General features: G+C 45.3%; 2 protein-coding genes across 70 annotated transcripts in view, besides 2 other annotated features; one reads left to right on the forward strand and one right to left on the reverse strand.

Moving 5' to 3' along the window:
- The window catches only part of KANSL3 (KAT8 regulatory NSL complex subunit 3), a 57819-nt gene extending 47491 nt beyond the window's left edge, over positions 1–10328 (reverse strand). For 30 of the 53 annotated variants that reach the window (NR_047656.2, NR_146100.2, NR_146101.2 and 27 more), the window contains exons 1-3: positions 10299–10328; positions 8937–9201; positions 3328–3498 (exon numbers count right to left, since the gene is read on the reverse strand). Coding sequence is in view for 37 of the 53 variants with exons in the window: in XM_047445030.1 (XP_047300986.1) it covers positions 3328–3498; positions 8937–9151 (386 nt within the window). In the remaining 16 variants the exon portion in view is untranslated. Of the gene's footprint in view, positions 1–3327; positions 3560–8936; positions 9365–9856; positions 10008–10275 lie in introns of those variants that run through there. The other 23 variants (NR_047658.2, XM_047445021.1, XM_047445013.1 and 20 more) reach the window with 9 other exon arrangements.
- Positions 7988–8097: an enhancer, noted in NCBI's record as "active region_16223". NCBI's record gives its function as "activates an Ori minimal core promoter by ATAC-STARR-seq in GM12878 lymphoblastoid cells {active_cell/tissue: GM12878}" and the evidence as "EXISTENCE:reporter gene assay evidence [ECO:0000049][PMID:35858748]".
- Positions 10048–10257: a silencer, noted in NCBI's record as "silent region_11773". NCBI's record gives its function as "represses an Ori minimal core promoter by ATAC-STARR-seq in GM12878 lymphoblastoid cells {active_cell/tissue: GM12878}" and the evidence as "EXISTENCE:reporter gene assay evidence [ECO:0000049][PMID:35858748]".
- FER1L5 (fer-1 like family member 5) overlaps positions 14780–15452 on the forward strand; it is a 62120-nt gene continuing 61447 nt past the window's right edge. For all 17 annotated transcript variants that reach the window (XM_011512110.3, XM_011512122.3, NM_001293083.2 and 14 more), the window contains exon 1: positions 14780–14937. In XM_011512110.3, the coding sequence (XP_011510412.1) occupies positions 14853–14937 (85 nt within the window). In that variant the 5' untranslated portion in view covers positions 14780–14852. The remainder of the gene's footprint in view (positions 14938–15452) is intronic.

Genomic DNA, 15452 nt, shown 5'->3' on the forward strand with positions numbered 1-15452 from the left:
TAAGAAAACAAATAATCTGATAAATTGAGCTTTAATGGATTACATCAATCTGTGGCAATGTGGCAATGTCATAACAGAAGGGTGGTGGTCCACAAGGAGACTGGAGAAAGATAAGCCAAAGACAAGAATCTGTCAGTGTTTCTCTAAAGGACAGGCAGGAGAAGGTGCACACTGGCCTATTCCGTGGACTCATCTTGCCTAGAGGAAAGATGTGTACATCCAGCTATTCTGCTGTGCCTCCTGTGTAGACTCTCCACTCATCTATTCACTTCTGAAATAAAATGGTTTTCCAGACTTTCCTGCTGAGAACAGACACTCTGGCCAGGCCACCCCAGTGTCTCTTATGCTTTGCAGTTATATCTCTCCTTATAAATTAAGAAACTCAGCCAAGTGCAGTGGCTCACACCTATAATCCTAGCACTTTGGGAGGCAAAGGTGGGCAGACCACTTGAGCCAGGAGTTTGAGACCAGCCTAGGCAACATGGTGAAACCCAATCTCTACAAAAACTACAAAAATTAAGAAATGGTGACGTACTCCTGTAGTCCCAGCTACTTGGGAGGTTAAGGTTCCCACCCGGGAGAATCACCTGAGTCCTGGAGGTCAAGGCTTGTAGTGAGCTGAGATCGTGCCACTGCACTGCAGTCTGGGTGACAGAGTGAGACCCTGTCTCAAAAAAAAGAAAAAAGAAACAAACTGGTATTTATAGTATTATTAAGTCTCTAATGACTTTGATAAGTATGAATTGTCCACAAAAACCTCTTAATCATAACCATGGATAAACTGACAAAAAAAAAAAAAATCACACAGTTCTCCTATGTACTTTCTGAAATTGCAAAGGACAAGGTAGTAGAAAATACCACAAAGGGATACATAACCATACCAGGCCACCTTGTTCAGCCACCACTAACTGGTCTTAATCTCTTCTTACTGCCCTTAATTAAGGCAGAGGGTATGGTAGTTGAGAACACTGGGTTCTGGAGTCAGGCTGCTTGGTTTGAACAAAATCCTTCTCCATCACTTCCTAATTAAGGTTTCTTAAACACCCTGAGCTCAGTTTCTTCATCCTGTTGAGCAGAGATGAAGGGGGGATATACCTCCAAGAGTCATTGGGAGGATTAAGAGACAATGCATTTGAAGAGACATTGATACAATGTCTGGCACCTAGAAAGCACTCAACAAACGGTAGCTCCTTTTTGTTATTACCATCGTCGTTATTTTTTATTATTAACTGTAAAAATAGTGATAAATCCTTTTGCTGAATATACTGACTCTAGCAATATTCCAGTAGTTGATCTTCATTCGTAGCAGTTTTCTTCTTTATCTGAAGCTCAAAAGAGCTTTTTTTTCTTTTTTTGAGATGGTGTTTCACTCTTGGTGCCCAGACTGGAGTGCAATGGCACGATCTCGGCTCACCACAACCTCCGCCTCCCAGGTTCAAGTGATTCTCCTGCCTCAGCCTCCCGAGTAGCTGGGATTACAGGCATGCGCCACCACACCCAGCTAATTTTGTATTTTTAGCAGAGACAGAGTTTCTCCATGTTGGTCAGGCTGGTCTTGAACTCCCGACCTCAGGTGATCCACCCGCCTCAACCTCCCAAAGTACTGGGATTACAGGCGTGAGAAAAGAGCTTCTTAAGGCACTAAATTAATTCCAATGCAAGACCCCAACCAACTTCTTCACAAGCTTTTTCAACCAAGGTGCAGAACTGCTCCTCCCTCAACAGCTGCTGTTTTGATCACACAAGCACACCTGTTCAATCTCATTCCCAACTTCCAACCAGCTTCAGAAGTCATGTCAATCACCTCAAACTTTCTACCCCTCTTTCTCTCTATTATAAAATAAGGGTTCTCCAAAATTATGGAAAGTTACCACCTACCAACTCCTGATATAAGAAGTAACATTTCCTTATATATATAGTAGATATATGGATACACAGACAAAAAGCCATCAACAAAATATAAGTTGAAACCACAATGAGATGCCACTTTACACGCAGTAGAATGGTTATAATTTTTTTAAAAAAGAAGAAAATCAGTAAGTGTTGGCAAGGATATGGAGAAACTAGAACTCTCATACACTGCTGGTAGGAATGTAAAATGGTACAGCCACTTTGGAAAACAGTCTGGCAATTCCTCAAAGGTTAAATACAGAGTTATCATATGACCCAACAAGTCCACTCCCAGGTATATAACTAAGAGAATTAAAAACTTAGATCCACACAAAAACTTGTATGCAAATGTTCATAATAGCATTATTCACAATTGCCAAAAAATGAAAACAATCTAAATATCTATCAACTGATTAATGAATAAATAAAATGTGGGCTATCCATACAATGTAATGTCATTTGGCAATAAAAAGCATGAAGTGCTGATACACGCAACCACATGGATAAACCTTGAAAACATCATGCTGGGTGAAAGAAGCCAGTAGGAAAAGACCACATATTGCATGATTCCATTTATATGAAATGTCCAGAATAGGCAAATCTATAAAGACAAAAGTCAATTAGTGCTTCCTAGGGACCAGAGAAGCTGGGAGGAAACGGGAAGTAACTGTTTATGGGTAAGAGGTTTCTTTTTAGGATGATGAAAATGTTTATCAAATTGATAGTGGTGATGAATATACAACTCTGACTATACTAAAAACCAATGACTGTACATATTAAATAGCTGAATTGTATGGTATGTAAATAATATCCCCAAAAAGCTGTTATGTAATTAGGTAAATGTTTACCAAATGAACAGGGACAAATAACCAGGAGAGGAGTGCTGAGTCCCCTGGGGGCAGTAGAAAGCTTGGGAACAAAACTAGCCAGTATACTCGTGAAAATAGGCTTCAGTGTGCCCTCCATAGCCTGCAAATCTATTTTTAAAAGCCACTCAAACATCTGTTAGCTTTTCATGTGACTTCACAACTTCCATCATCCTAGTTATAAACCATTTAAACACAATATCTTACAAATGTACATTTCATTTTTTTGCAGTTTGGGTAACCCCTATATCATAACTTATACAACAGAAGCTACTACAGAGCTAGTCATATGTATCAAATTTAATTCACTTATTTATTCAACAAACATTATATGCCTACTGTGTGCCAGACAACGTCCTAGTGTGAAGTATGCAAAGATGGCTGAGATGTAAGCCCTACTCTCAAGGAGCTCACACACAGCATGGTGAACTGAGAGTTATAATGTGAGACTTTGGAGAACACTCTGACTTGTGTTGCTGCAAATGAAATAAGGTCCTAATAAGTGTTATTTCAATGAAGATGATACAAAATAATTACAGGGCAGTGATCATCCTCCTGATGAGCAGCCTACCTGTTGACATGCTCCTCCCAGTCCTCTGGTGGAGGAGGGGCATCTGCATCAGTCCTGGCAAAGATGACATGCCGTTCACACTCATTCATCACGCTGCGTGCCTTCTGATTGTCATAGAGTGGCATAGGCGTTGATGTGACCGTCTCCACATCTATTGGGACGTCTGATTCACTGTAAACAGGTGAGGAAATAGGACCGGGCCACACATACTTCACAGGTATTTAACAATCATCTGGTTGACAAAAAATGTATCTTTAATACAGTCAGCTTTAAATTACGCATAAGCACATTATATTCACAAGAAAATTTTGATCCAAAGTCATCTTTCCCACACTTGTCTAGATCTCTGCCCTCTCAGACATGATGGTATGTACTGGAAGAACACAAAGTCATTTTTTCAATGAGTCTATATAAAAAATGATAAACATCTATTTTTTTTTTAAGATAAATATGGGCCAGGTGCACTGGCTCACACCTGTAATACCACCACTTTGGGAAGCCGAGGCAGGTGGATTGCTTGAACTCAGGAGTTCAAGACCAGCCTGGGCAACATGAGGAAACCCTGTCTCTACCAAAAATACAAAAATTAGCTGGGCATGTGGCACACACCTGTGATCCCAGCTACTAAGGAGGCTAAGGTGGGAGGACTGCTGGAACCCGGGAAGTCAAGGCTGCAGTGAGCCATGATTGCATCACTGCACTCCAGCCTGGGTGACAGAGCAAGACCTGGTCTCAAAAATAAATAAATAAATGACAAATACAGCCAGACACAGTGATTCACACCTGTAATCCCAGCACTTGGGAGGCTGAAGCAGGAGGATCACTTAAGCCCAGGAGTGAGCTGGTCTCAAAAAATAAATAAATAAATGACAAATATAGCCAGGCACAGTGATTCATACTTGTAATCCCAGTACTTTGGAAGGCTGAAGGAGGATTGTTTAAGCCCAGAAGTTCAAGACCAGTTTGGCAATATGGCAAAACCCCGTCTCTAAAACAAACACAAAAATTAGCCAGGCATGGTGGTATGCGCCTGCAGTCCCAGAAACTGAAGTGGGAGGATGGCTTGCTTGAGCCCAGGAGGTTGAGGCTACAGTCAGCTCTGATCATGCCACTGCACTCCAGTCTGGGTGACACGGCAAGACCCAGTCTCAAAAAAAAGGACAATATATTCCATAAGCAAGTTGATTTGGCTCAAGCTAATATTTTTAAAAGATCACTTTCAATTTTTGTTTAGTAGGCTACAGCTCAGGAGTGGAATTTAGAAGACCAGCTAGGCAGCCACTGCAGTTGACTGAGATGGGCCAGAAATCATGAGAGCTCGTTTAGGGACAAGAACAGTACAAATGGAGAAAAGTGGCTAACAAGTTGATTGCCTAGATACTGTTCAATACAGTAGGTATAAGCCACACACGACTACTTAAATTGAGGCAGGTGGATCACGAGGTCAGATCGAGACTATCCTGGCTAACATGGAGAAACCCCGTCTCTACTAAAAATACAAAAATTTAGCCAGCCATGGTAGCAGGCATCTGTAGTCCCAGCTACTCAGGACACTGAGGAAGGAGAACGGTGTGAACCCAGGAGGCGGAGCTTGCAGTGAGCCGAGATTGCGCCACTGCACTCCAGACTGGGAGACAGAGCGAGACTCCATCTCAAAAAAAAAAAAAAAAAAAAAATTACTGGGCACAAGGGCTCACAAGGGCTCAGGCTTGTAATCCCAGCACTTTGGGAGGCCAAGGTGGGCAGAACACTTGAGCCCACAAGTTCAACAGTGTGGGCAACATGGTGAAACCCCGTCTCTACTGAAAATACAGAAATTAGCTTGTGGTCCCAGCTACATGGGAGGCTGAGGTGGGAGATCAACTGAGCCTGGGAGGCGGACGTTGCAGTGAGCCAAAATTGCACCACTGTACTTCAGTCTGGGTGACAGAGACCTCGGCCCAAAAAAAAAAAATTTAAATAGAATTAAATATTCAGGCTGGGCGTAGTGGCTCGCGCCTGTAAACCCAACATTTTGGGAGGCCAAGGCGGGTGGATCACCTTAGGTCACGAGTTCGAGACCAGCTTGGCCAACATGGTAAAACCCCATCTCTACTTAAAAAAAACAAAAATTAGGGTGTGGTGGCACGTGCCTGTAGTCCCAGCTACTCAGGAGGCTGAGGCAGGAGAATGGCGTGAACCCGGGAGACGGAGGTTGCAGTGAGCCGAGATCACACCACTGCACCCCAGCCTGGGCAACAGAGCGAGACTCTGTCTCAAAAAAAAAAAAAAAGGCCGGACATGGTGGCTCATGCCGGTAATCCCAGCACTCTGGGAGGCAGAGGCATGCGGATTGCCTGAGCTCAGGAGTTTGCAACCAGCCTGGGCAACATGGTGAAACCTCGTCTCTACTAAACACAAAAAATTAGCTGGGTGTGGCAGCGTGCACCTATAGTCCCAGCTACTTGGGAGACTGCAGCAGGAGAATTGCTTGAATCCGGGAGGCGGAGGTTACCATGAGCCAAGATTGCACCACTGCACTCCAGCCTGGGTGACAGAGCAAGACTCCGTCTCAAAAAAATAAAAAAATAAAAAATTCAGTTCCGTAGTGACGTTAGCCACATTTCAAGCATTCAACAGATACACGTGGCGGCAGTTACCACACTGGACATCCCAGGTATAGAACATTCCTATTATTACAGAGAGTTCTGTTAAACAGTGCTGGTCTAGAGTTTTAAATTCATACAAACTTTCCCTTTCATTAGCAAGTCAACTGGTAGTTATTTAATATATACTGTAAAGTCTATGATTTCCTTTCTGTATGATTATCTAAGACAGATGACCTGGAATGCACATACCTTAGCTACTTAGCTCATTTTGTACAGAGCCTAGAACAGAAACAAATATAAATGAACATCTAAAGGTCTTTCATATTTTAAAATGAGATCTAGCTGGGCATAGTGGCTCACGCCTGTAATCCCAGCACTTTGGGAGGCCGAGGCAGGTGGATTGCTTAAAGTCATGAGTTCAAGACGAGCCTGACCAACATGGTGAAACTCCGTCTCTACTAAAAATATTAGCCAGGCATGGTGGCGGGTGCCTATAATCCCAGCTACTTGGGAGGCTGAGGCAGGAGAATTGCTTGAACCCAGGAGGCAGAGGTTGCAGTGAGCCAAGATTGCGCCATTGCGCTCCAGCCTGGGCAACAGAGACTCCGTCTCAAAAAAAAAAAAAAAGAAAGTAAGAAACAAATCCTAGTGCCCCAAGGGTCCTTCCCCACTTTATGATACATTGCACCAACTTTGTCACCCCAAATACTATGCCAAACAAACTGGTCTAGTGGCTACCTGCCAAACTTTATGTTAACTTTTTGACTTCAGTGACCTTACTGCATCCATTTCCAATGACTGAAATAATTACATCATTATGAAATGAAATGAAATCATGTGCAGCTAGATTTGGTGGTGGGCAAAAGAGCTGATTATCTTCTCCAGGCCAGACATTGAGCTAGTACTTGGATATGTGTAGCTAAAAGAGAACTCTTGATTTCACCATCACAAACCTATCCTCCTCCAGTCTTCCCTAACTCATGGCACCACCCAACTGCTCAAGCCAGAAATCTGTCATCCTAATTTTACCTTTCCCTTTAACCCTGGTTCTTGCTCTTCCTTCCAATTCACCATAGCAGATCCTATTAACCTATTCACTCTACCTATGAAATACATCTCAAAGTCATCTATATTTCTCCATTTGTACTGTTCCTGCCCTATACAAGATATCACGATTTCTGGCCCATCTCAGTCCATTGCAGTGGCAGCCTGCAGCTGGTCTTGTAAGTTCTACTCCTGCACTATAATATACTCAACAAAAAATCCAAAATGATCTTTTTAAAGTATAAATTGAATCTCTAGTTTAAGATCCTTCAGTGACTTCTTACCACTCTTAGAATCAAATTCCTTCACGAGGTAACCCTTGCCAACTTCTCCCTACCTCCCACTTATACCCCTACTGCTATTATATTCTGGCCACACTGGCCTAAAAGAGTTCTTACAGCATGCCAAATTCTCACTTTCAGGGTCTATATTTGGAGACAGAGATTATAAAAGGAAACAATTTTCTAAGTACCAAAAGAACCAAGTCCACAGAATCTCACTTTAAGAAAATGTCATGAGATGTGGACACAGGAGTTTTAATGTCAGCAAGAAGCTAATATGCAGCAAAAAAGGAAAAGACTTCAACTACTATTTAAAGGAGCTTTTCAGTTATGCCCTAGGCCAGAGGCATCAAGATTATGCTAAATTATTGCCTAAAGTTACAGATTTTATCTCCTGTACACCAAAAAAGCCAACAAAATTATAAAGTCATTGGGAAATGAAATAAAAGACACTATTCTGCACATGTTTAAAACACACAGTGGGTCAGGAGCGGTGGCTCATGCCTGTAATCCCAGCATTTTGGGAGGCCGAGGCGGGTGGATTGCCTGAGGTCAGGAGTTCGAGACCAGCCTGGCTAACATGGTGGGTGGAAACCCTGTCTCTACTAAAAATACAAAAATTAGCCAGGCACAGTGGCACACGCCGGTAGTCCCAGCTACTCAGGAGGCTGAGGCAGGAGAATCGCTCAAACCCAGGAGGTGGAGGTTGCAGTGAGCCAAGATCACACCACTGCACTCCAGCCTGGGCGACAGAGCAAGACTCCATCTCAAAAAAAAAAAAAACCACACACACACATTGTGGTATCTCTAACTCATTAGGTCATTAAGTCTCAATTCCAGGAGGGGTGACTCTAAAGAAGCCTCTACAAGGGCTCTAACCCCCAACAAAATTAAAACCAGTGCTTAAGGAAAGATTAAACATTAGGTCAGATTAAAAACAAACAGACAAAACTCTTCTCCAAAAGTTTACAAAATTATTAAGGACATGATTTGATCACCATAACGGAATATATCAACACATCATGAAACATAATTAGAATGCCTTAAAGTGCAAAAGAACTGGCAAACAGGTTTATTTAGACCAAATGTAACTGTATCACTCATCAGGTAGTCAATTTATGAAACTTCCTTACCCTATAACATAGGCTGGGTGAAAATATCATTAGACATAAGAAGGGTTTAGATTAACCTATGGATAGCAGCTCTGTAACAAGGGAAGAGAAAAAGCAACGTCTTGGGAATTGGCTCCTAACCTTCGTGTGTGAAACCAAGAAAAGCAAAATGCATTACTATAAAAAGGCTATTGTTGCCACTGTCAAGCAACCCAGAGCACTGGACTAATGTGATAAAAGAGTCGTATCCTGTGGGTAATCTTTTAAAATCAACTTTTCAGTCTTTTTCTTCACCAGTTAAATAACCCTCTACGATTTTCCCCTTTCCACACGTCCTACTATCTAAGTGGAATAGGTTGTCTGCTTTTCATTTGCACGTCTTGCTTTCCTAACTCTTGTTAGCTGTCTCACAGAGATAGCCACATTCAAGCCTGCTATCCTTATGCTGCTTAAGAGATGCCTGAATTTAACATCCAAATGCCTCATACAATCTCCCCCAGTCAATCCTGAGAAAATCCTCTCTAAATTCCCATCTGATCACTGCCCAGTGAGGTTACCAGCAGCCCTTAGAAGCCCCAACTCACATGGTACTTTCGTGCTGCCGCCGGGGAGTGACAAAGAGCATGCGGGTGGGGCGGGCACTACTGGCATCTGGGTGGGCACTCCAAGGCTTGGCATAGCTATGATCCAGAAAAACCAGGTCCAGCTCCCGTTCATGCACTGAAAGCTGGAAGAGCAGCGAGGTGCCCATGCGTCGAGCTGAAGTCTGGAAGTCCCTCTCCCCACCCCGGTGGGCCATGTCAGTGGAGGGGCAGAAAGTCAGAGCATGGGTATCTGCATGCTAGTCACCTGCAGTGAAAAGTTTCAGTTTAGGTCAATTCCAATATCCTAAATTTCTCCCAATCTACACCATCTAACATGCTTACTTTTGTAACCTACTATCATTCCTATTGAGTATCCATTTCACGGCAGACCTCTGGTGGGGACGGTTCGTGGAATCCCACACCAACACCAAAAAAAAAGAAAAAAAAAACTATGGTGCCACGAGTTGTCCCATACTCAACCTCTAGCGAACTGAAATTACCTAACGGGAGAGCTCACCGACCCCAAGGTTCAGAAAGACCTCGCGTGGACAGACAGTAAACTTGCTTGGCCAGCACCACTTCCTAGGTGGGCAGGAAGGGTTTTGACAAACAGGAAATCACAAATATGAATTCGTTGAAAGCTAAGGATCTCTGTTGCTTCACACCATCCTCTAACGACAATGCGAAGGGAGCCGGGGCCGCAGCTAGAGCGTGGGCACCCCTAAAGGGCAGGGCAACGCCGGCCTCAAAAAAGCGAATCCCAGCTAGGGCTCCACTTCTTCAAGCCTCTCGTATTGTGCGAAACAAAAGTTCTGTTAAGTACTTCGTAATATTCCAGAGTTGTTTACATAAAAATGAAAACTGCCCCCCCAACAAAGCCTGTGACAAAATGATCCCCGTGGAAGCCCTTTCACCCTCACCCCCAGTGAGGCGTCCCTAGCAAACCGCCCAGGACCCCGGCTGCCCCGCAGGCGTTCCCGCCACTGAGCCTCCACACGGCCCATCTAGGAGACAGGGCTATGACTCGCATTTTACAGACGAAGTCGCCAGCTCGGGGAACTGAAGCGATTTGGCCAAGGTCATCCAGAGTTCGCGACGAGGAGGAGCCGCCTGGCCCCCGCCTCCCGCCTCCCGCTCCCTGGGGCAGGGCTCGGCGTCCGCGTCACGGAGGCCCAGACGCGGCCCCTGCCAGCCCGCCCCCGGCCCGACCCGCCCCGCCCGACCAGCACCGGCAGCCGGCCCTAGCCCGGGCCCCCGCATGCCCCGGGAGCCCTGAAGCCCTCGCCGAGACCCCCGGCCGTCCCAACCACGGCCGCGATCCCCACGGCCCGCCACTCCCCTCGAAGCCAACGCTGCTCTCACCCGCGGTCTTACGGCCGCGCGCTCGGCCACGGCCGGATCCCTAAGCGCGTGCGCGTTAACGCCTCCACGCCCCGGCGCTGCGGGCACCGAGTAAAACGCGGAAGCGGGTTACGGCCTGGGAAGGGAGAGGCGGTGAGCGGCAAAGCCCGGAACGGATGAAGCTCCGGCGCCTCTGTCCGGAAGAGGAGAGCCAAGAACACGCGAGCATGTCCGAAGCAGAAAGTCAACAACTAGGCTGGAGTTTCCCCCTCGCGCATATTCAGTAGGGAAAGCGAGGGCGGAGGACTAGGCTGGCTTCTACGGCCCCAGTTCTCGCCACCCCCACCGTGTTGGTCCTTTGTGCCCTCTGGGCGGTCGAGCACCCAACGGTCCACCTCCACCAGGGCAGCCACCTGAATTTACTCATTAAGAATTTACCTAATGTGGCTCACGCCTGTAATCCCAGCGCTTTGGGAGGCCTAGGCGGGAGGACCTCTTGAGCTCAGGAGTTTGAGATGAGCCTGGCCAATATGATGAGACCCCCGTATCTACAAAAAATTTTAGAAATTAGGTGTGTGTGATAGTGGTGTATGCCTGTAGTCCCAGCTACCCGGGAGGCTGAGGTGGGAGGATCACTTGAGTCTGGGAGGTCCAGGCTGCAATGAGCCATGGTTGCACCACTGCACTCCAGCCTGGACGACGGAGTGAGACTACGTCTCAAAAAAAAAAAAAAAGAATTTTGTTACTGACCCTAGATTGTTTTGTGTGGTTAACTTTCCTATGTGTTTTGTGTAGAGAGAGTAGATCCTCAAAATCAGGGACATTAACCTTTGTATCCTCCAGAGAACATACACCCAGAACATAGGTAATTGTTCAAATGTTGACTGATCAATAATTGGTTATTTGGTTGACTGACTGACAACATGACATCAAGAGACATGAGACAAGACAGCAAGAGACATGGTTCAAGATGATAAATCTCACCCGGGATCTGTGGCTCATGCCTATAATCCCAGTACTTTGGGAGGCCAAGGTGGGAAGATTGCTTGAGCCCAAGAGTTCAAGACTAGCCTGCACAAAACAGTGAGACTTCGTTTCTATTTAAAAAAAGAAATGGCCGGGTGCGGTGGCTCACGCCTGTAATCCCAGCACTTTGGGAGGCTGAGGAGGGTGGATCACGAGTTCAGGAGTACAAAACCAGCCTGGCCAACATAGCGAAATCCTGTCTCTACTAAAAATACAAAAATTAGCCAGGTGTGGTGGCGCATGCCTGTAATCCCGGCTACTCGGGAGGCTGAGGTGGGAGAATCTCTCAAACTCAGGAGGCAGAGGTTGCGGTGAGCCAAAATCGCGCCATTGCACTCCAGCCTGGGCGACACAGCAAGACTCTGTCTCAAAAAAAAAAAAAAGATAGGTACAGACATGCAAACACTCGAAACATTCAGAAAGCCACTCAAAGCTGTGTTCCACAAAGATGAGAGGGTAAACTGAGAAGACGGAAGGCATAGGATCGGGGAAGCAGGGTCTAACACAAGAAGCAGACGAGGAATTCTGAAGGTGATGGCAAAGAGTATCCCAGGACAATAGCTATGCTGCAGGACTGGGGACCACTAGTCTCAGCTGGGGGAGAAGAGAAGACCAGGAGGGAGAGCCCCGGGGAAAACAATAAAACTGGGAAAATGCCTCATAGATTTGAAAAAATCAAGGAATGCTATTTAAAAGTGCTGTTTAGAAATATGGAGCTTAAGGCCATAGAAATTATCACAAATAGAGCAGCCCCTGCCCCACCTCTCCCTACCCTTAACTTTGTCTCCTGGGCGCTTGTTTGGGGCCAGGGTTCTGCTATTTCTCTACTTATATTCCCATTCCCACTAAAAACAGATTTGTATCTTTTCTCTGCCCCTTCCTTTCCTCAGCACACCACGTTTATCATTTTGTTTCATTCTTTGCCAATTTAAGAGGTGATAAATGGTATCTTATCCCATTTATTTGCTTATTAATGAGTTTTTTGTTTTGTTTTGTTTTTGTTTTTTTGAGACAGAGTCTCTCTCTGTCGCCCAGGCTGGAGTGCAGTAGCGTGATCTCGGCTCACTGCAACCTCCACCTCCCTGGTTCAAGCGATTCTCCTGCCTCAGCCTCCCGAGTAGCTGAGACCACAGGCGTGTGCCACCATGCTCGGATAATTTTTTGTATTTTTAGTAGAGACGGGGTTTCACTGTGTTAGCCCGGATGGTCTCGATCTCCTGACCTCGTGATCCGCCCGCCTTGGCCTCCCAAAGTGCTGGGATTACAGGCGTGAGCCACCGTGCCCAGTGAGTTTGATTTTTTTTTTTTACATCTTTTTTGGCTTTTGAAACCAATTTGGCAAAGTCATAAATTGTATTTCATTGTATTTCTTTGATTATTAACAAGACTGAGGGTTTTTTAAAAAAAATTTTTTTTTGTCATTTTGGGCAATTATCTGATAGGAGCTTTGCCTTTGTTTTCCTTTGGGATAGTCATCCTTTTCTTATTAAGAGCTTGCTCTATAAACATTTATTAAATAAACTGTTGGACATTAAGTATATTGAAAATGTTTTCCCTGCTTTGATATTTGTCTTCTAGCTTTAAGGCATAATTTCTACATAGGAATTTTTTATTTAATACAGTCAAATCTGTCAGCTTTTCACTTACAGGGTCTTTTGTGTCACGCTTACTTTGAAAAGCCATTCACAAAGCGAAAAGCACTGTGTTGTGTTTAGATTTCAAGAAAAACTTCCAAGAAGCACTTTTTTTTTTAATCTGCTGCACTAGAAAGCAATCAGCACCCTGATCACTGACCCAGCGTTTCAGTCTTTGAATCCATTCATCTCTTAGACTGCGTGGTACGCTTACTGCTAAGTAGTTGTTTCATTAACTAATAGATTGTTCTTAAACATTGTTTTTTTTTTTTTTTTTTTTTTTTTTGAGACAGTCTTGCTCTGTGGCCAGGCTTGTGTGCAGTGGCGTGATCTCGGCTCACTGCAACCTCCGCCTCCCAGGTTCAAGCGATTCCCCTGCCTCAGCTCCGGAGTAGCTGGGACTACAGGCGCGCAATACCATGCCCGGCTAATTTTTTGTATTTTAGTAGGGACGGGGTTTCACCATGTTGGCCAAGATGATCTTGATCTCCTGATCTCGTGATCCGGCCGCCTTAACCTCCCAAAGATCTGGGATTACAGGCTACAGGCGTAAGCCACCACGCCCGGCCTTTTTTTTTTTTTTTTTGAGACAGAGTCTCGCTGTGTTGCCAAGGTTGGAGTGCAGTGGTGCAATCTTGGCTCACTGTGACCTCCACCTCCCAGGTTCAAGCGATTCCCCTGCCTCAGCCTCCCAAGTAGCTGGGATTGCTGGCACGTGCCACCACGCCCAGCTAATTTTTGTATTTTTAGTAGAGATGGGGTTTTGCTATGTTGGCCAGGCTGTTCCCGAACTTCTGGCCTCAAGTGATCCGTCCACCTTGGCCTCCCAAAGTGCTGGGATTACAGGCATGAGCCACCAATCCCAGCATTTAAATATTCATTAGTTTTCATTCTAACTATTGGATAAGATGTAATTTATACGATGTTCAACCCTAAAGCCTAAAAAGCCTTGCTGTGGACAATAAGAATAGGTGCCCCAGCTCCATCTTAATGCACAGAGGCTCAGACAGCCATAAAGACAGCCACTTCAAAACCGCATTGTCTTCTTTGACCTTCCATATGAGCTCATTAATTCAAAAGCTAATTTCCTTTTGTCAAAGAGGGTCTCGTATCTAAACTTAGGTTTTTCTTAGTAAAAAGGTTTCCACGTTAGGAAGAACTTTCCCTGAGACCTCACAGAAATAGTCCTTGATTTTCCTATCCCTTTTCTCAGGTCACTTCACTGTTTTCTTATTTTCTCATCTACATTGTGTGACTTTGGCAATGATTGGCTCCAGACAACTTGCTTGTACAAGGAGAAAACATCAACCTTATGTCTGACCTTGAAATCAAAAGGACGGCAAGGAGGGCAGGTGTGGGGTGGGCAAAAAAAAATTTTTTAAGGCCAGACTTGGTGGCTCACGCCTGTAATCCCAACACTTTGGGAGGCCGAGGTGGGCAGATCACCTGAGGTCGGGAGTTCGAGACCAGCCTGACCAACATGGAGAAACCCCATCTCTACTAAAAATACAAAATTAGCCGGGCGTGGTGGCGCATGCCTGTAATCTCAGCTACTCGGGAGGCTGAGGCAGGAGAATCGCTTGAACCAGGGAGGTGGAGGTTGCGGTGAGCTGAGATCGCACCATTGCACTCCAGCCTGGGCAATAAGAAAAGGGGGTGAAAGCAGCCAGGTGGTTTTGTTTCTACAGGCCCAGTCACCTATACCCTGTTCCTCCTCCCCCTTCTCTTTCCCATTAATTCCTCTCCAGAACCAAGAACCGCCCACCTTTGTGACAGCCTGTCTGTTGCTTAGCAACAGACAGGAAGTGGGGCTCCACTCACCCCAGGATCGCTGGGAAAAGTCTTGGACTGAGGAGCTCCAAAAAGGAAGCTGTGGCGCTGCGTAGGGAAGGAGGGAAGAAAGTAGGTCTCCGAGATGCTGCGGCTTGTGGTGCAGTCGGCCAAGATTGACCCACCACTAGCCCCACTACCCAGGCCCTGCATGTCCATCGACTTCAGAGGTGAGAGCCTCCCTGGGTCCACATGGGAGAGAGAAGCCCCCAGAGGCAACATGGATTCAGTGAAAAAAGAGGTGTATGGCACCCCACTACATAAAAGATGCCCTGTGTAACACAAAGTGAAGTAGACGTTGTCCAGCTCTCTCAAAACTTATTGCTATCATTTGATTATGACTTCTCTGCCTCCCACTTTTGCTAGGGAATGGCTATGGAAAAAAGAGAGGACTAGTGCTTCTGGACCTTCTTCCATGACCTGGAGCTGTGCCATAAACTAAGGTTTAAAGAGAAAGTCCCTGCTTCCTCAGATTGATGCGGGAGTTTAAAAAGATAATATGTGTATAGCCCTTAGTACAACTTTTAGTAATAACTGCTTGATCATATTAGTTTCATTTGCATGAGCTTTACAATTGACAAGGCATTATTATTATTTTTTATTTTTTATTTTTTTTGAGACAGACTGTCACTCTGTCACCCAGGCTACAGTGCAGTGGTGTGATCTCGGCTCACTGCAACCTCTG

The sequence above is a fragment of the Homo sapiens genome, chromosome 2 (assembly GCF_000001405.40).
Source record: "Homo sapiens chromosome 2, GRCh38.p14 Primary Assembly".
Lineage (NCBI taxonomy): Eukaryota > Metazoa > Chordata > Mammalia > Primates > Hominidae > Homo > Homo sapiens.